This window comes from Homo sapiens, chromosome 10 (assembly GCF_000001405.40).
Source record: "Homo sapiens chromosome 10, GRCh38.p14 Primary Assembly".
NCBI lineage: Eukaryota > Metazoa > Chordata > Mammalia > Primates > Hominidae > Homo > Homo sapiens.
In genome coordinates this window covers 97,316,671-97,334,818 of record NC_000010.11, presented here as the reverse complement: position 1 = coordinate 97,334,818, position 18,148 = coordinate 97,316,671, and the positions used below count along the sequence as shown (strand labels likewise).

Sequence of the window (18,148 nt, the reverse complement as noted above, 5' to 3'; positions counted from 1 at the left end):
GCCTGCTCGCGCGTCACCCCCGCCCCGGTGCGGTGGTAGGGCCCGGCGCGACGTCACCCATTGTTTACAAATCAACCCGAGCCGGCAGGATTCCGGCTCCAGCGGCTGCAGGCGCGTGGCTCGAGTGCCTGGCGGGCTCCGGCTTCCGCGTCCGCCCCTGCTCCGGCTTCGCCCGCAGCTCCGCGCCCGCGGGCAACCAAGCCCCCAGCGAAGCCCGCACAGCTCCGGGTGCCAGGACGGGGGGCCATGCCGTGCCGGAGGGAGGAGGAAGAGGAAGCCGGCGAGGAGGCGGAGGGGGAGGAAGAGGAGGACGACAGCTTCCTCCTGCTGCAGCAGTCGGTGACGCTGGGCAGCTCGGGCGAGGTGGACCGGCTGGTGGCCCAGATCGGCGAGACGCTGCAGCTGGACGCGGCGCAGGACAGCCCGGCCTCGCCGTGCGCGCCCCCGGGGGTGCCGCTGCGGGCCCCGGGGCCCCTGGCTGCGGCGGTGCCGGCGGACAAGGCCCGGCCCCCGGCGGTGCCGCTGCTGCTGCCGCCCGCTTCGGCTGAGACGGTGGGCCCGGCGCCCTCTGGGGCCCTGCGCTGCGCCCTAGGGGACCGCGGCCGCGTGCGCGGACGCGCTGCGCCCTACTGCGTGGCGGAGGTCGCCGCAGGCCCCAGCGCGCTGCCGGGGCCGTGCCGGCGAGGATGGCTCAGGGACGCGGTCACCTCCCGCCGCTTGCAGCAGCGCCGATGGACCCAAGCCGGGGCACGCGCCGGCGACGACGACCCGCATCGGCTCCTCCAGCAGCTCGTGCTCTCGGGAAACCTCATCAAGGAAGCCGTGCGGAGACTCCAACGAGCCGTCGCCGCGGTTGCAGCCACGGGCCCCGCAAGCGCCCCTGGGCCCGGGGGAGGCCGCAGCGGACCTGACCGCATTGCCCTGCAGCCCTCAGGCTCCTTGCTCTGACGCAGGCCTCCTGGAGGAGGAAGTGGAGGCCGCTGCGTAGACCCAACAGCGTCCAGTTCCTACTAACTCTGAGCTGAAGCCGACGTCGCCAGCCTGGGAGCGACCACTTTGGCTGCGGGGAGGCGCGTGGGGAGAGATCTCAACCAGAGAAGTTACCAGCCGCGGCGAGGCCGTCGGAGAAAACTTAAGCGTGGAGAAATGTATGCGCCAGGGTGCTTCCGTGGGGCATGAGAATTTCCCGGGCCATCCAAGCCCAAGGACCTGGGATAAACTGGGAGAACTATGGCAGCTACTTGCATCGACTTGTACCTCACTTAGCCCTTGGGGGCGTCGTGAGCTTGGATTGTTTAAGGAGGGCTCAGGGGTAGGAATCGCGATGGCTTTATAACAATACTTGAAAACTAACGACACGCATACATTTTCTTATTTTCTGGTGGAGGAGCTTAGTAAGTGGTGCTACAATTGCTGTGCAAAGAAATTCCAGAGGGGAGAAGAATGTAAAAGTTTGGTGGTGGGTGGCTTGGCATTGCCCCTTTTTCCCACCGATTCGGTGGCTGGTGAAGGTGGGAGATGTGAACTCCAATTAAGGGACTGGAGAGAGGTGAAGAATTTTGCAGGTGGGAGATTTGGATTTGAATGTGGACTTGTAAATGACTTGACCTTGCCATCTGTGTTCAAGGTCACGGTTTGCTGTGGGGTTCCTGGGAGAGCTTACTCACCCCGGAGTCTTTTCTTTCTCTTGCTCCAAGAAGAGCCCTGTTGGTGCTTTACCACCGCTTGGAGTCTCCCGAGGACACAAACAGGCAGAGAGGGACGTGTAGGGAGAGTTCTTTCCTGTTTTCTGTGCTTTCCTTTTTACAGGACTCCCGGAAGGCCACTCATGGCCATGCCAGGAGCTTTCTCAGAAACAGTCATAAACGATCTCTTGAGTCTCTTTCTTGTCCTCCCAGCTGAGCTTTCTTATTCCACCCTTTCTGGTGTCTATAGGAATGCATGAGAGACCCTGGACGTTTTTCTGCTCTCTTCTGGCCCTCCATGGAGTCATGGGCCTCGGCCTCGGCGGCTCCTCACCCTCACAATTTATTTCCTCCTCCCGTGCCAGCCCTTCTTTTGTGTCTGAAACCGGTTTTAAAATGTGACTCTCCCAGAGAAGAAGCCGCTGGCTGTATGAAACTTGACGGCGCTTTTGTAAGGTGCCACCCCCAAACTTTAAGGTAGCTAAACCAATTTTTAAAAGATTCAATGGCTTGTTCATCCTCCAGATGTAGCTATTGATGTACACTTCGCAACGGAGTGTCTGAAATTGTGGTGGTCCTGATTTATAGGATTTCATAATTAAAATGTCTGCTGAATAAATTTGGCTTTTGTTTTGGAGCACGGTTTGGCATTTTGGTGGAAGGTGGGAGAGGGGCAGAAAAGCATATGGGGATGTCCTTAATAAAGAGGGCACTTGGGCTAAACCGGGGGGGGGGGACCTGGACAAATGGTTTGGGCCAATGCTGATGGGCACAGAATCCTAGTAGAGCCACAGGACTTGAGTGCTTCTAAGTTTTTATTCCACAAGATCAGAAAATTGAGTCCAGGTTTTTAGAAGCTGCAAGATGGGCTTCCACTCCCTTTGTGGAAAGACAATGTATTCTAGAAATGCTTTCTGGGCTGGAGAGCAAAGAGGTGCTGTGGTGGAGGGAGGTGGGTTTTCATCTGGACGTTTTTGTGCAAAATGGGGAGGGCACAGGCGAAGCCAGCCTGCTTTCCCCTTTGAGACTGACCTAGTCTTGAGCTATGGCCTTGGGAGAGAAAAACAGGGTTTTACAGCAGTGTATTTGGTAGTTGTAAAATGGCTTGGTTTGAGCACTCAGGGGTTAGATTTGACCGAAGTAGCCCTCCTCCTCTCCTCATTCTCTCTCTGCCCTGTCTTCCCAGGCATAGAGCCCTTGCTGAATCCCTTCCTAGTTCCTGCCTTGCCCTTTTCTCTTTTTAATTTAATTTTATTATTTTGAGATGGTGTCTTACTCTGTAACCCAGGTTGGAGTGCAGTGGCACGATCTTGGCTCACTGCAGCCTCAACCTCCTGGGCTCAAACAGTCCTCTCACCTCAACCTCCTGAGTAGCTGGGACTACAGGCTCATACCACCATGCCAGGCTAATTTTTTATATTTTTAGTAGAGATGGGTTCTCACTGTGTTGCCCAGGCTGGTCTTGAACTCGAGCTCAAGTGATCTGCCCTCCTCGGCCTCCCAAGGTGCTGGGATTAAAGGCGTGAGCCACCACACCTGGCCCCTGCCTTGCCCCTTCCTTGCCCAGCTCTACTAACCCAGCCCCCGGGGAACCTCTCCTGCTCAGCACACTCCCGAGGCTGGGGCTGCAGAGGAAGGCTGATGCTCAGTTGCCTCAGCCCTTTCTGCTCACCAGCTGTGTCATGGTGGGCAAGTCAAGACTCTGAGTTTTTCCCTTGTGATTTGTAAAACAATAGTACTTAATAGGGGAGTTGGAAGGGTTAAATGAGGACTTGAAGGGGAGACTTCATTGCTCAAAAAGTGATAGCTGCTCATTCTTGGTACTACCACATGGCTTTATGTGCCACGAGGTAGGCACTATTTTTCCATCTTATAGATAAGGACTACAGACAATGGGAAAAGACCTACAAGATCTGAGTGTTTCTCTACTTCCTAGGTAGAGATGGAGCTGATCCCTGTTAGGGCAGGCACCCTGGTTGGCACCTTTTACAAGATTTTTTTTTTTTTGAGATGGAATCTCGCTCTGTCGCCTGGCTAGAGTGCAGTGGTGTGATCTCAGCTCACTGCAGCCTCCCTCTCCTGGGTTCAAGTGATTCTCCTGCCTCAGCCTCCCGAGTAACTGGGACTACAGGAGCATGCCACCACACCCAGCTAATTTTTGTATATTTAGTAGAGACGGGGTTTTACCATGTTGGCCAGGATGGTCTCGATCTGACCTTGTGATCCGCCTACCTTGACCTCCCAAAGTGCTGGAATTACAGGCATGAGCCACGGCACCTGGCATTTTTTTTTTTTTAAGACGTGGTCTTGCTCTGTCCCCAGGCTGGAGTGCAGTGGCATGATCTTGGCTCACTGCAGCCTCCACCTCCTGGGTTCAAGCAATTCTCCTGCCTCAGCCTCCCAAGTAGCTGGGATTACAGGTGCCCGCCACCACTCCCAGCTAACTTTTGTATTTTTAGCAGAGATGAGGTTTCACCGTGTTGCCCTGGCTGGTCTCAAATTGCTAACCTCAAGTGATCCACCTGTCTTGGCCTCCCAAAGTGCTGGGATTACAGGTGTGAGCCACCGTGCCTGGCCCTACTTTGCTTTTTACAATGGTGAAAGGAATTATTGGTGGTAGAGCAGAATCAGAACTCAGGGCACTTAAGTTGGTCCTCTTGCCCCCTGTCTGAGCCTACACACAATGCTCTTCTCACACACCCTTGTCACCTGTCTGAGCCTACACACAGTACGCTCTTCTCACCCCAACTCTTGCTACTGATCCAGCCATTTGCAAAGCCTGTGGAGGGCCTGGGCCTGGGGAAGTGTCTCTGTCTACGAGGCAATGGGCATTTCCAAGGTGTTGCAGCTTGGGATAGCCCATTCCTAGTACTCTTAGCTCAGGAATGATTTTGGCTAGGATATCCCTAGCCCCTTGTAGTGGATGGTCACAGAGTTGAGACAGCTTCGTCTTCTGAAGGGGCCATTGCCCATGTTTCCCTGATAACATTCTGCAAGTCTCTAGCCTAGAAGGACCAGAGCAATAGGGAAATAATGAGAAATGGTATGTGTGTGTGTGTGGTGTTTGGAGAATTAGGAGTTTCACATGGGAAGTTACGAGGACAGAAGCCTGGTGCCTTGTAAATGACTAGGAGTTGGAGAGGGTTCAGGGCTTAAGATAAAGATTTGGCAGTTAAGGCTAAGGGGGTGGGATGGGGTGGGGCGCAGAATGGGGCCTGGAAGATGGGCAGTAATAACACTAGCTAATGTGCAATAGTGCGTGCCATGTGCCAGGCTGTGTTCTAAGCACTTTTTCTTTCTTTTTTCTTTTTTTTTTTGAGACAGTCTCACACTGTTGCCCAGGCTGGAGTGCAGTGGCGTGATCTCGACTCACTACAACTTCTGCCTCCCAGGTTCAAGTGATTCTTCTGCCTCAGCCTCCCAAGGAGCTGTAGCTACAGGCGGGCACCACCACATCTGGCTAATTTTTTTTTTTGTATTTTTTTGGTATAGACGGGTTTTGCCATGTTGTCCAGGCTGGTCTCGAACTTTTGACCTCAAGTGATCCACCCGCCTCGGCCTTCCAAAGTGCTGGGATTATAGGCGTGAGCCACCACACCCAGCCTGTGTGTGCCCGGCCTTCTAAGCACTTTACAAATACCCAACTCATCAAATCTCTGGGAGGAAGAAGACTACACAAAAGGAACAGACAGAAAATAAAAGTAGACCCAGGAGAAGCCAAGGGAGACTGTAGGGTGAACAGTAGTGGGTCCACATGTGCACATAACACAAACACAGCTGTATCTATTATCCCTATGTATATCCTCTGTAGTCAGGCCACAGAGGTCCGGGGCATATGGAATCAGATCTTATTCAATGACTTTCACTGTCTTTGAATCCTGAAGTTAATTCTCAAGTTGCCTTTGTCAGCACCCTTAAGTAGCGTGTTTTGAACATCTGCACTGGATTCCTCCCCTCCTTAGCCCAGCTGAAGAAAAGTACTATTTATGCTGCATCAGCAGAAAGGGGTTTGTGACTTCAGTGTCTAGGAAAGATTTTCAGGAAAACCTATAGGAAACCATTTTTCACCGATCTTAGGCTGTGGAATCTAATTTAGGCAGTTACAGAAACAGGCAAAAGGCAGGGCAAAGGTAACAGGATGATAACCAGCTCTTGCTTTTTTTAACCCACCCAAATCAATAAGTCAAACAAACTGCCTGGGCAGCCTAACAGTTGGGGGTTGTGATTTTACTTGCTATGAGTCAGTTAACAGTTGATAAGAGGGAGCACTTAAACTCCTTGGTATCAGTTTTCATTTTCATTCCATTATAGCATCAGCTACAGATAATTCATTCACACAAAAACAACAGAAACATGTCCAGCCATCCCAGGCATGAAGGATGGTTTCAGCAACCAATCTGTCAGGTTGCAGCCACACTGTGGCAGGACAGTTAGTGACACAGGGAGCTGTCATGTGGGGCATCCACAACCAGAGTCCCCCTAAGCCCTGCCCTTCAAACCTGCCCTGTCTGAGGACCCCATACTGTCCCACTCCTCCAGGAACTTAGACCTTTATAGCATCTTCCCTTTGATTTCACCCCTTTTTTTTTTTCTTGAGACGGCATATCGCTCTGTCACCCAGGCTGGAGTGTAGTGGCGTGCAACCTCAGCCTCCCGGGTTCAAGTGATTCTCATGCCTTAGCCTCCTGAGTAACTGGGACTACAGGCGTGTGCCACCACGCCCAGCTAATTTTTGTATTTTTAGTAGAGACGGTTTCACCATGTTGGCCAGGTTGGTCTCAAACTCTTGACCTCAAGTGATCCACCCGCCTTAGCCTCTCAAAGTACTGGGATTACAGGCGTGAGCCACCGTGCCTGGCAATTTCACCCTTTTGTATCCTCTCTCCACACCCAGATGAGCACAGTTCTCCCCTGGCTGAGTGAATCCTTCCCTTGGCCATTTTCCCTTTTTAGCTGTAGTCACTCTTTTCCCATCTTCAGACTTGCAGGCACCACAACACATCATCTACGTCCTAAGCACCCCACTCCCTTAGCCTCTGCCAGTCTGTTGAAATTGCCCATTGTTTGCTCTGCAAATATTTACTAAATACCAGTACCCTGGTGCTGTTGCTAAATGCAGCTATGTTGCAGGCAGGCAGTGGCCTAAGCATTTTTACTAGCATTAGCTCAATTAATCCTCACAACAACCCTCTGAGGGGGGGACTTTTTTTTTTTTATCATGGGACTTTGCAACTGAACGTAAGGTTAGAGAGGTGAAGTTACCTGCCCAAGGTCACAGGAAGGAGCTTTCAAGGAAGGAGCCAGGCAGTCTGGCTCCAGAGCCATGATTTTACAGCTACACAGTACAGTTAACTGAGGCCTACCGGTTTTCTTTTGGAAGTGTCTCTTGTGTTTTCCTCTCCCTTAATCGCCTGGGTGCCTGGGAGCTTTAACACCATTCGGCTGATCTGGCTGACCATCAGTGTTTTCCTCAGCTCCAGACCACTCCCCATGCCATGCAGCCTGACAATCTGCCTAAAACATCCTCATCATCTTGTCACTCCTCTGCCATCACAAAATACATAATCTATTGGGGAAGAGAACACATTCATTCACATATGAGTCCCTGAGATAACTCTATAATGACAGTAAATGAAATGTGAGAGTGAGAATGAAATGAACTCAAAGGCCACTTCCTGTGAAGAAATTGCATGCATGGTTTTCTCTTTTTTTTTTTTTTTTTTTTTTTTGGAGATGGAGTCTCACTCTGCCACCCAGGCTGGAGTGCAATGGCACCATCTCAGCTCACTGCAGCCTCTGCCTCATGGGTTCAAGCGATTCTCCTACCTCAGCCCTCCGAGTAGCTGGGACTACAGGCGCATGCCACCGTGCCTGGCTAATTTTTGTATTTTCAGTAGAGACAGGGTTTCACCATGTTGGCCAGGCTAGTCTCGAACTCTTGACCTCAGGTGATCCACCCGTCTCAGCCTCCCAAAGTGTTGGGATTACAGGTGTGAGCCACCGCACCCGGCCTATTGTATGGTTTTCTCAGTGCAGATTATAGCCAGGACTGGACAGGACAGCAAGTAGAACTTGAGTATTTGAATTTTGGAAAAGGATAGGTTTTCTGATAGGAAATGGGGGAGTTAAGAGCTGTGGCCCCAGGCTGTGTTCACTGCCAACTGCCAACCCTATCCTTTGTGATATTCCTGCTCCCTCTATTCCACCAGTTCCAACCCTGAGCTGCTTTGCAGGCTTAGCTTGGCTCCACCCTTTTTTTCTCTCTCTTTTTAGATGCCCATGCTGGAGTGCAGTGGCGTGATCTCAGCTCACTGTAACCTCCGCCTCCTGAGTTCAAGCGATTCTCCTGCCTCAGCCTCCCAAGTAGCATGCACCACCACGCCCAGCTAATTTTTGTATTTTTAGTAGAGACGAGGTTTCACCATTTTGGCCAGGCTGGTTTCGAACTCATGACCTCACATGATCCGCCTGCCTGGGTTTACCAAATTGTTGAGATTACAGGTGTGAGCCACCGCACCCGGCCGCCTCCGCCCTTATTCCCTTCTTCTACACTTCCCTTAACACCCACCTATGCAACTGGGGTGCATGATCAGGAAACTGGTCTGACCTTCAGAAGAAACAGGTTTGTGCCTGTTAAGAAATATTGAAGAAGTCAGTAAGAGGCAGGGTTTTCTGCAGAAGACTCAAAGAAGTGGCCTTAATGCAACGTCTCTCAGGAACAGTGTTCTGTTTTGTTTATTATTTGCTCTTTGGTTCCCATACCATTTGCTCTTTGGTTCTAATTTAATTTTCACACAAGTCTTCAAGGTGCTCTACCCTTACCCACATTTTGCAAATGAGTTCATTGAGCTTACTGAACCTGTCCCATATCACACAGCCGACAGTGGAGGGCTGCCTGCAGACCCCCCACTCTTACCTATTATGTCTTTTGGGTAACACTGGTAGGGGCAGGTCAATTGCTCTCCCTTCAGTTATGATGGAAAACCAGGAGGAAACACTACTCGGAAGAGTTTTGCCCCTTTGCCTGCACCAGCTTTCACAGTGTTCAAATGGAGCGCACCTCGGAGTGGAAACCTCTCTGAGCTTCCATCTCTAAATGAGGCGGTAGCATCAGACTGCTGAAAGCTGAGCTCTCCGGGGGCTGATGGTCTGTGATTACTGAGCATTGGTAGAAGTGGGGGCTAATTGAGTGAGTTAGTAATTTCGTTGCCAAGGTAACTCTTTCCTGATTGGAAGGAAGGGATCACAGGTTTCAACATAGACTTTGCTAGATAGGAAAGTGGTGTCTGATCTTCGCTCCAGCTTTCTGCATCTGAGCTGGAAAAAGAGCAAAAACGGGTAAAAATTGAATCCAAATATTGTCGGATGTATGCCTAATTTAGAATGAAATCTTGGGGTGGCAGACTCTGGAGTTCTCTGTGAGGTGTGGCATTCTTTTCTCTAAATCACTTATTTGCCAATGTATGTGTCACTTTGTTTCATTCCATTTGTAGCTTTGTTCTCATATCTCACCCAGGCCATTTTCTGTGGCCAGCTGTCTTCATAGGATGCTGAACATTTTGTAAGGAAATGGCATTCCCTAACTCAGCCTAGGAACTTGGAGCAGAATTTTCCAGGGTTCCAATGGCAGGGTCACCAATTTGGGCAATTGTAGGGATGTCATTCCCATGGTAGCCTATGTGCAGAGTTGTGCAGTGAACAATATTGGACCATGTTTGATGATATGGAGCCACTGGAAAGAGCCCTGAGTTGGGAGCTGGGAGACCTAGGTTCTAGACTCTGCTAGGCCTCTGGCTTCATAAACAACTTTGGTAGGTCATTCTTCCCTGCTCACTTCCTTGGACTATTTTTCCACCTATAAAATGGTCTAATATGACTTTTTTTTTTTTTTTTTTTTTGAGACAGAGGTTTTGCTCTTTTTTGCCCAGGCTGGAGTGCAACGGTGAGATCTCAGCTCACTGCACGCTCCACCTCCTGGGTTCAAGCGATTTTCCTGGCTCAGCCTCCTAGTAGCTGGGATTACAGATGCCCACCACCACGTCCAGCTAACTTTTGTATTTTTAGTAGAGACGAGGGTTCCCCATTTTGGCCACGCTGGTCTTGAACTCTTGACCTCAGGTGATCCACCTGCCTCGACCTCCCAGAGTCCTAGGATTACAGGCATGAGCCACCACGTCTGCCCCAATATGACTTTTAAAATACTTTATGTAAATCCTGGCTGGGCGAGGTGGCTCACACTTGTAATCCCAGCACTTTGGGAGGCTGAGGCAGGTGGATTGCTTGAGCCCAAGAGTTTGAGAACAGCCTGGGCAACATGGCAAAACCTTGTCTTTATAAAAAATTTTAAAATTATCCAGGCATGGTGGCACGCACCTGTAGTCCAATTACTCAAGAGATGGGAGAATCACTTGAGTCCAGGAGGTGGAGGTTGCAGTGAGCTGAGATCTCACCGTTGCACTCCTGGGTGACTGACTGAGACCCCGTCACAAACAAACAAACAAACAAAAAACCCCACACTTTATGTAAATCCTGACTTATCCCAAAAAAAGTATTTTGGGGTGAATAGTAAAACTTGGCAGGATTTGGCTGGGTGCGGTGGCTCATGCCTGTAATCCCAGCACTTTGGGAGGCCGAGGCGGGCGGATCAGGAGGTCAGGAGATCGAGACCATCCTGGCTAACGCGGTGAAACCCCATCTCTACTAAAAATACAAAAAATTAGCCGGGCATGGTGGCGGGCACCTGTAGTCCCAGCTATTCCAGAGGCTGAGGCAGGAGAATGGTGTGACCCCAGGAGGTGGAGGTTGCAGTAAGCCGAGATCATGCCACTGCACTCCAGCCTGGGTGACAGAGCGAGACTTCGTCTAAAAAAAAAGAAAAAACTTGGCAGGATTTGAAAAAAAAAAAAAAAAAAAAAACAGGCCGGATGCGGTGGCTCACGCCTAAAATCCCAGCACTTTGGGAGGCCGAGGCAGGCGGATCACCTGAGGTTAGGAGTTCCAGACCAGCCTGGGTAACATGGGGAAACTCCGCCTCTACAAATATACAAAAATTAGCTGGGCGTGATGGCGGGTGCCTGTAGTCCCAGCTACTCAGGAGACTGAGGCGGGAGAATCACTTGAACCCAGGAGGTGGAGCTTGCAGTGGGCCGAGATCACGCCATTGCACTCCAGCCTGGGTGACAGAGCAAGACTCTGTCTCAAAAATAAATAAGTAAATAAGATAAAAAATAAAAACACAGATGAACGGTTACTGGATTATAATGTGTTTAGAGTGCTAACTTGCTTTATGTAGAGAGGCTTTAGTTTTTCCCAATTTTCCTTTTTTAGGAGTGGGTTGTTCTGCATGGGCCCTAAGGTTGAGTCTGAACTTAACCAGTCATTCTTATTACAAGAAGCTATGCACAGTCGGTGCAGTGACATCAAATCATAGCCTATTTCAGGATGGAAAGCCCTGGATTGCTCATAACCCCTTGACCTTGGATAAATCGTACATCAACTAAGAATGGGAACTGGGGACTTCAGGGCTACTCCCATGCCAGGGGACATCAGCACCTGGCCACTTTCCCCTCATGCTCAGCGCCCAGAGGTGGTGCCCACTACACTATTGGGGGCTCCTTTTCCTCAGTTTGTATTAGAGCCTCCATAGTTACCCTTCCCATGCTGGAGAACACTGGACTGAGGCCCCCACAGCCCTTTCTGGGCATGTTGTGGGAAATGGCAGGCTTGGTGTGTTCTGAAGGTACTCCTCAGAGACCATCAGCGTCTGTGTGTGAATTTGAGAAAATGGGGCATTGAACCAAAAAGGAAGTTAGAAAATCAGGACTCGAAGTCATAGAACACTCCAGAAAGCAGATTTGGGATCATGGCATGCTCTTGTTTTGTGGGAAAATGAGGACACCTGGGACACCGCCACCTGGGAAGGAAGGGGTAGGGACTAGATACTGTTCATCTGCAGCATGTGCCAGTCACCATATGCCTTTTATTAATTTATTTTTTTGAGGCAGGGTCTTGCTCTGCCACCCAGGTGGGAGTGCAGTAGCTCAATCATGGCTTACGACAGCCTCAAACTCCTAGGCTCAAGCAATCCTCTTGCCTCATTTATTTATTTATTTTATTTTATCTTATTTGAGACAGAGTCTCGCTCTGTCGCCCAGGCTGGAGTGCAGTGGCGCGATCTCAGCTCACTGCAACCTCTGCCTCCCAGGTTCAAGCGATTCTCCTGCCTCAGCCTCCTGAGTACCTGGGATTATGGGCATGCACCACCATGCCCAGTTAATTTTTGTATTTTTAGTAGAGATGGGGTTTCACCATGTTGGTCAGGCTGGTCTTGAACTCCTGACCTCGTGATCAGCCCTTCTTGGCCTCCCAAAGTGCTGGGATTGCAGGCATGAGCCACTGTGCCCGGCCATTTATCTATTTATTTTTGGAGAGGTGAGGTCTCACTATGTTGCCCTGGCTGGTCTTGAACTTCTGGGCTCCAGCAATCCTCCACTTTAGCCTCCCAAAGTGCTACTAGGATTACAGGTGTAAACTACTGGGCCTGGCCCACCTTTTATTTCATTATCCCTGTTGTACGGATGAGGAAACTGAAGCCACAGAGGTAGAGCAACTTGTCCAAGGTTCCCTTCCCACTTCAGAAGTGGGCTTAAACTCTGGGTACTCTTTCCTCAGAGGGAGGAAATTAGCTCCTTCCATGAGGGAACAGACTGAAGTAAGTCAGAACCATAAGGATAGACATGGCCTGTTATGTCACTGCTTAGGGACAGAATGGTATAAATGTGCCAGGGGCAAAGACAGGAGTCTTTTGTAAGTTTCCACCCAGCTTTCCTACCACCAGGCTCACATTGTGAGCAGTCTCCTAATCAAGAGCTGCCCCAGCCTTAAGGCCCACCTTGTGGAACAAGTGCACTTAATGGCCACGGTGAGAAAGAAGAAAAAAAGAAAAAGAAAAAAAAAAAGATAAGCCTCCCAGTTTGCAGTGACTGGCTGATCTGATGTCCTTTGCTAATAGAGGCAGCTTTATAACACATCTCCATCACTGACTAGTAATCCAAAAGGCTCTGAGGTTTTAACGAATGGGATTGGTCCAAAACCTGACCTCACTTTCATTTAATTTCATGCCAGCTCCAATACACACCCAGCTGCGGAGACCTTGTCTAGCTAGTGAGCTGCTCAGACACAAAGGCGCTCTAATTACCATCCACAAGCCAGGCTGACAGAGATTTCAAGTGTTTTCATGTTTATGGAGATCAGAGAAATGTGTTCTGTACATCTTTTTCACTGATGGCAAGTATAAAATAAAACCAAACAAAAAACCCAACACATTTATTCAAAGCAGGCATTTCAGTTAAGTTAAAATCCTATAATCAGGATAGCCACAATTCCAGACACTCCGGTGCGAAGTGTAGATATGTCAGTAGCCACATCTGGATGATGAACAAGCCATTGACTATAAAAACGAGAACAACAGCACAGTCTCAGCGCCTTTAGAGTGAGTGAACAGTATGTTCCAAGCACTTCACCATGGTTCACAATGGCAAAGCCTGCAGCTTCTCCATTTGGAGGGTCACATTTTCTACTCGGTTTCCTGCACTTACAAAGGCCAGCTGGCATGGCTGGGGGAGGGGCAGAGGGAGGAAATCAACTCGTCTATCCAGGGAATTGCAGCTGTTATTGCAAATGGCCCCGGAGAGCCCATTATAAGCTGCTGTGCTAGGCTGTGTGTCCCTGGAGTGTCCATCACATGGCGTCTCCCTAGCCCCCAACCCAGGCCCCCAGGATCCCAGAGCCACCCGCTTGAGTAGGACTGCAGAGCCGAGTAGGAGAGGAGGAACCCAGGGCCCGGTCTCGGGAGTTTCCGTGAAAGCCCGGAGCGCGGCCAGGGGCGGTGGTCGCCTACCGAAGCACAGCCGCCCAGCACGTCCGCGCTTTCCCACACCCGCGGTGGCGGCGACGCGCGTGTCCTCAGGAGACTCCAGCACTTGCAAAACACTGCGCTCTTCTCCGAGCACCGGCAGAACCTGGCTACTCTGTCCCGCAACCCAGTGCGTGCCCAGGAAACAGTGACCTTGAACCGAGGAGAGGCGGGCCGGCTCTGAAAATACACTTTAGACAGGGCGTGGGGTTCACTCCGCGCCTCTCTACCCTTCCACCACCATTCAATACTCCCCGCCCCCACCTCCTTTCCCCACCCGTGTCGTACAGCCTTCCCCCACCACTCTGAGAAGAGAGACAGTTGCAAAGAGAGCGCAGGGGTTAACTCCTATTCAACCCCCAAAGGGTCCCTTCATGGCACCGCATGTTTGGTATTAAGCAGCACCTCCAAAGACACAAGATGGTTTTTTTAAGTCTGGCAGATTGGGCTGCACCCTGAAATTATCTACTCATGTTCTCCTCCCCCAAAGTGGATCAGGAGCCAGCCCTGAAAAGGTAAAGCAAGTAACTGGCATCATCCTCCGTGGTTCCGGCGCACCGCGATCCGGAGAAGCGTGGATTGTGGCCACATGGTCGCGGGGCTGGAGGGCACTGAGAGGCTGCGAGGAAATGCAGGCTCCGCGGCCAGGTCGGGTCACGCCAAATAAGGAGTCCTACTGACTTGTACGTTTGAGGTGCGCTCTGTAAAATCTGCCTTAAATAGGGCCAAAGTCCTTCATTCCAAATATTTTGGCCCTCAACCCCAGTTACCCGCGAAACACTCGCGATTTTTCGGTTCCTCGTCATTAGCTTTTTACTCTCGCTTCCAAAAGCCAGAGTTCTCCACCAGCCTGAGTAGAACTGCAGCCCTCAAGGGAACCCCTTGCCCTCCAGTCTGAGGCTGGCGCTGTGGCCACCCCGGGCGTGTTAGCTGCCAGGCACAAGAACGCCGTCGCCAGTTCTGAGCTGCGCCCTCCCGGAGGCGCCAGGGTCACTGCAGGCCGCGCGAGGGCTGCGAGGCGAAGGGGGTTCATGCACCGGGGCCGACAGAGGTCCCAGGAGCGGGCGTTGGGGAAGCTTTGCACGTAACTGCAGCCGTCGCGAATGAAGCCTTCGCACGGCCTCCTTGATGAGGTTTCCAGAGAGCACTAGCTGCTGCAGAAGCCGGTGCGGGTCGTCGTCGCCTGTGCGGGTTTCTGGTTGGGACCCGCGTCGCTGCTGCAGGCGGCGGGAGGCGGCGGCGCCCCGGAGCCATCCTCGCCGGCACGGACCCGACAGCGGCTGCGGGATGCCCTGCTTGCCAGCTCCCGGAGGCCCATCAAGGTCGGCCTGAGGGGGCAGTGGGGACAGCGCGCTGGGGCCTGTGGCGAGCTCGGCCACGCAGTAGGGCGCAGCGCGGCCCCGCACGCGGCCGCGGTCCCCCAGGGCGCAGCGCAGGACCCCAGGGGGCGCCGGGCCCACAGTCTCCGCCAACGCGGGCGGCAGCAGCAGCGGCACCGCCGGGGACCTGGCCTTGTCCGCCGGCACCGCCGCAGCCAGGGGCCCCGGGGCCCGCAGCGGCGCCCCCGGGGGCCCGCACGGCGAGGCCGGGCTGTGCTGCGCCGCGTCCAGCTGCAGCGTCTCGCCGATCTGGGCCACCAGCCGGTCCACCTCGCCCGAGCTGCCCAGCGCCACTGACTGCTGCAGTAGGAGGAAGCTGTCCTCCTCCTCTTCCTCCCCCTCCGCCTCCTCGCCGGCTTCCTCTTCCTCCTCCCTCCGGCACGGCATGGCCCCCTGTCTGGGCACCCGGAGCTGTGCGGGCGTCGCTGGGGGCTCGGCTGCCGGCGGGCGCGGTGGGCCGCGGCGGAGCGGGCGCGGAGCTGAAGACTAAGTCTGGACCGGGGCCGGGGCGGACGCGGAAGCCGGAGCCCGCCAGGCACTCTAGCCGCGCGCCTGCAGCCGCGGGAGCCGGAATCCTGCCGGCTCGGGTTGATTTGTAAACAATGGGTGACGTCACGTCGGGCCCTACCACCGCGCCGGGGAGGGGGTGCTGTGCCGCTGGGGGACGGCGCTTCTGTGGGATTGGGGGTCTGGGTGAAGCCGGACTGCCTTCTGAGCTCCTTCGCTCAGGGTGCTGTCTGCAAGGGCGCCCTGGGGACCTGATCCTGGCTCCCGCAGTCGGGCGCGATTGGCATTTCCAGAAATGGGCACCAGCGTGAACCCTGTTGGTTTCTTCCACACACAAGCAAGCACGCACACTAACACACACCCACCCACCCACACACCCCTTCTCTCCGTGCGTCAACTCAACCGGTTTTTAGCGTTTGCGCTTTTGAGGTCCGGCATGCGGGCGTCTGGTGAGGATGGAAAGGAAAGGGAGTCAGGCTAGGGATTTGTACGGAGATTAGGGAAATGAAGCTGACGGGAATGGAAAGGAAGAAGGGGACCTTGTCGTTCGATGGAGGTGGCAGAGTTGGAAATGGCAAAGAAAGGCCACAGATTAATGTTTTTTGATCGAGATCCTGGGCGGATGGGGGCCTGGACTGGGGTTGGCATTGCTGGAGAGGAGGTTGCTAGTCTTTTTGTTTATTTGTTTGTTTGTTTTTTTGAGACGGAGTCTCGCTCTATCGCCCAGGCTGGAGTGCAGTGGCTCGATCTCCACTCACTACAACCTCCGCCTCCTGCGTTTAAGCAATTCTCCTGCCTCAGCCTTCCGAGTAGCTGGGATTACAGGCGCCCACCACCACGCCCGGCTAATTTTTGTATTTTTAGTAGAGACGGGGTTTCACCATGTTGGCCAGGCTGGTCTCGAACTCCTGACCTCAGGTGATCCACCCGCCTCAGCCTCCCAAAGTGCTGGGATTACAGGCGTGAGCCACTGCGCCCGGCCTAGGTTGCTACTCTTTTTGTTTTGTTTTGTTTTTTTGAGACAGAGTTTCGCTCTTGTTGCCCAGGCTGGAGTACAATGGCGCAATCTCCGCTCACCACAACTTCCGCCTCCTGGGTTCAAGCAGTTCTCCTGCCTCAGCCTCCCGAGTTGCTGGGATTACAGGCATGCGCCGCCATGCCCAGCCTAATTTTGTGTTTTTAGCAGAGATGGGGTTTCTCCATATTGGTCAGGCTGGTCTGGTACTCCCGACCTCAGGTGATCCACCTGCCTCGGCCTCCCAAAATCCTGGGATTACAAGCGTGAGCCACCACGCCTGGCTATAGGTTGTTAGTCTTAAGAGGGGCTATGTCCAGAAAGTTGTTTAAAAAAAAGCCTCAGACCAGTAGGGGGGATGGGCTCTGAGGAGGTACGTAGTAGCAGAGAAAAATACCTGTTTGGATGAAAATGGAGATACGCTTCCTTCCTTCCTTTCTTCCTTTTCTTTCTCTTTCTTTTCTTTCTTTGACAGAATTTCACTCTGTCACCCAGGCTGGAGTGCAGTGGTGTGATCTGGCTGATTGCAGCCTTGACTTCCCAGGATCAGGTGATCCTCCCACCTCAGCCTCCCGAGTAGCTGGGACAATAGGCACGCGCCACTACACCTGGCTAATTTTTGTATTTTTAGTGGATACAGGGTTTCGCCATGTTGGCCCGTCCGGTCTCAAACTCCTGGACTCAAGCAATCCCTCCTCCCGAAATGCTGGCGTTACAGACATGAGCCACCGCGCCCAGCCTGGAAGCAACTTTAAAATTCTGAGCATGATATAGAAAATAGGATACAAAGAAAGAAATGAGCCTGGAGATCCAGATAAATAGAAAACGAGGGTCTTGTTGGGCAGTTCCAACGATAATAATTATAGGAGCAAACCTTTAGGAAGGGATGAGTGCAGGAAAGAGGTAGGGAAGTTGGTTTAAAAAGAGTTGGGTTTGTTTTTGTCAAGTGTGGAGGAAAAAATGTAAAAACAGAGGAAGAGACAGTTTAAACAAAGCCATTGGATTTCTAATCTACGAAATCTGGATTTCTACAGGGTGTCATAAGGTTCATCACCTTGTTTTTGTGGATTCCTTAGGATTTTCTATATAGAAGATCGTGTCATCTACAAATAGAGATAGTTTTGCTTCTCTTCTTTTTCTTTTTTCTTTTCTTTTTTTCTTTTTTTTTTTTTTTGAGACAGGGTCTCATTCTGTGGCCCAGGCTGGAGTGCAGTGGCATGATCTCTGCTCACTGCAGCCTTGACTTCCCCAGGCTCAGTTGATCCTCCTATCTCAGCCTCCTGAGTAGCTGGGACTACAGGTGCAAGCCACCATGCCTGGCTAATTTTTGTATTTTTTGTAGACCCAGGGGGTCTCACCATGTTGCTCGGGCAGGTCTTGAACTCCTGAGCTCAAACGATCCGCCCACCCCAGCTTCCTAAAGTGCTAAGATTACAGGCATGAGCCACAGCACCTGGCCCTGTCTTATTCCTGATCTTAGATGAAAACATTCAGTCTTTCACAACATTAGGTAGGATGTTAGCTGTGGATTTTTCATAGATAGTATTTATCAGGTTAAGAATGTTCCCTTCTATTCCTGGTTTGTTGGGCATTTGTTGTTGTTGTTGTTGTTGTTGTTATTGTTGTTGTGATGGAGTCTTGCTCTGTT

At 52.0% G+C, this 18,148-nt stretch overlaps 2 protein-coding genes across 2 annotated transcripts, besides 12 other annotated features; one reads left to right on the top strand and one right to left on the bottom strand.

Annotated features, from left to right (window-relative positions):
- Positions 2–151: a silencer, noted in NCBI's record as "silent region_2675". NCBI's record gives its function as "represses an Ori minimal core promoter by ATAC-STARR-seq in GM12878 lymphoblastoid cells {active_cell/tissue: GM12878}" and the evidence as "EXISTENCE:reporter gene assay evidence [ECO:0000049][PMID:35858748]".
- Positions 90–2,322, top strand: FRAT2 (FRAT regulator of Wnt signaling pathway 2). The gene has a single exon (NM_012083.3). It carries the CDS (start codon positions 247–249, stop codon positions 946–948), a length of 702 nt encoding a protein of 233 aa, NP_036215.1. The 5' UTR covers positions 90–246; the 3' UTR covers positions 949–2,322.
- Positions 242–391: a silencer, noted in NCBI's record as "silent region_2674". NCBI's record gives its function as "represses an Ori minimal core promoter by ATAC-STARR-seq in GM12878 lymphoblastoid cells {active_cell/tissue: GM12878}" and the evidence as "EXISTENCE:reporter gene assay evidence [ECO:0000049][PMID:35858748]".
- Positions 472–1,379: an enhancer, noted in NCBI's record as "H3K27ac hESC enhancer chr10:99093197-99094104 (GRCh37/hg19 assembly coordinates)". NCBI's record gives its function as "activates a minimal SCP1, AML or CMV promoter by ChIP-STARR-seq in primed H9 embryonic stem cells {active_cell/tissue: H9 hESC(primed)}" and the evidence as "EXISTENCE:reporter gene assay evidence [ECO:0000049][PMID:30033119]".
- Positions 732–861: a silencer, noted in NCBI's record as "silent region_2673". NCBI's record gives its function as "represses an Ori minimal core promoter by ATAC-STARR-seq in GM12878 lymphoblastoid cells {active_cell/tissue: GM12878}" and the evidence as "EXISTENCE:reporter gene assay evidence [ECO:0000049][PMID:35858748]".
- Positions 872–921: a silencer, noted in NCBI's record as "silent region_2672". NCBI's record gives its function as "represses an Ori minimal core promoter by ATAC-STARR-seq in GM12878 lymphoblastoid cells {active_cell/tissue: GM12878}" and the evidence as "EXISTENCE:reporter gene assay evidence [ECO:0000049][PMID:35858748]".
- Positions 5,853–6,042: an enhancer, noted in NCBI's record as "active region_3848". NCBI's record gives its function as "activates an Ori minimal core promoter by ATAC-STARR-seq in GM12878 lymphoblastoid cells {active_cell/tissue: GM12878}" and the evidence as "EXISTENCE:reporter gene assay evidence [ECO:0000049][PMID:35858748]".
- FRAT1 (FRAT regulator of Wnt signaling pathway 1) lies at positions 12,904–15,548 on the bottom strand. Its single transcript, NM_005479.4, has one exon. It carries the CDS (start codon positions 15,363–15,365, stop codon positions 14,526–14,528), a length of 840 nt encoding a protein of 279 aa, NP_005470.2. The 5' UTR covers positions 15,366–15,548; the 3' UTR covers positions 12,904–14,525.
- Positions 14,164–14,323: an enhancer, noted in NCBI's record as "active region_3847". NCBI's record gives its function as "activates an Ori minimal core promoter by ATAC-STARR-seq in GM12878 lymphoblastoid cells {active_cell/tissue: GM12878}" and the evidence as "EXISTENCE:reporter gene assay evidence [ECO:0000049][PMID:35858748]".
- Positions 14,664–14,763: a silencer, noted in NCBI's record as "silent region_2671". NCBI's record gives its function as "represses an Ori minimal core promoter by ATAC-STARR-seq in GM12878 lymphoblastoid cells {active_cell/tissue: GM12878}" and the evidence as "EXISTENCE:reporter gene assay evidence [ECO:0000049][PMID:35858748]".
- Positions 15,264–15,573: a silencer, noted in NCBI's record as "silent region_2670". NCBI's record gives its function as "represses an Ori minimal core promoter by ATAC-STARR-seq in GM12878 lymphoblastoid cells {active_cell/tissue: GM12878}" and the evidence as "EXISTENCE:reporter gene assay evidence [ECO:0000049][PMID:35858748]".
- Positions 15,264–16,234: a biological region, named in NCBI's record as "Sharpr-MPRA regulatory region 7927".
- Positions 15,413–15,707: an enhancer, noted in NCBI's record as "tiled region #7927; HepG2 Activating DNase unmatched - State 1:Tss, and K562 Activating non-DNase unmatched - State 1:Tss". NCBI's record gives its function as "activates a minimal TATA promoter and a strong SV40 promoter by Sharpr-MPRA in HepG2 and K562 cells {active_cell/tissue: HepG2 | K562}" and the evidence as "EXISTENCE:reporter gene assay evidence [ECO:0000049][PMID:27701403]".
- Positions 15,445–16,234: an enhancer, noted in NCBI's record as "H3K27ac hESC enhancer chr10:99078342-99079131 (GRCh37/hg19 assembly coordinates)". NCBI's record gives its function as "activates a minimal SCP1, AML or CMV promoter by ChIP-STARR-seq in primed H9 embryonic stem cells {active_cell/tissue: H9 hESC(primed)}" and the evidence as "EXISTENCE:reporter gene assay evidence [ECO:0000049][PMID:30033119]".

Bases quoted from the DNA above. Each gene is read 5' to 3' on its own strand.
- FRAT2 (NM_012083.3), top strand. From the start codon at position 247: ATGCCGTGCCGGAGGGAGGAGGAAGAGGAAGCCGGCGAGGAGGCGGAG.
- FRAT1 (NM_005479.4), bottom strand. From the start codon at position 15,365: ATGCCGTGCCGGAGGGAGGAGGAAGAGGAAGCCGGCGAGGAGGCGGAG.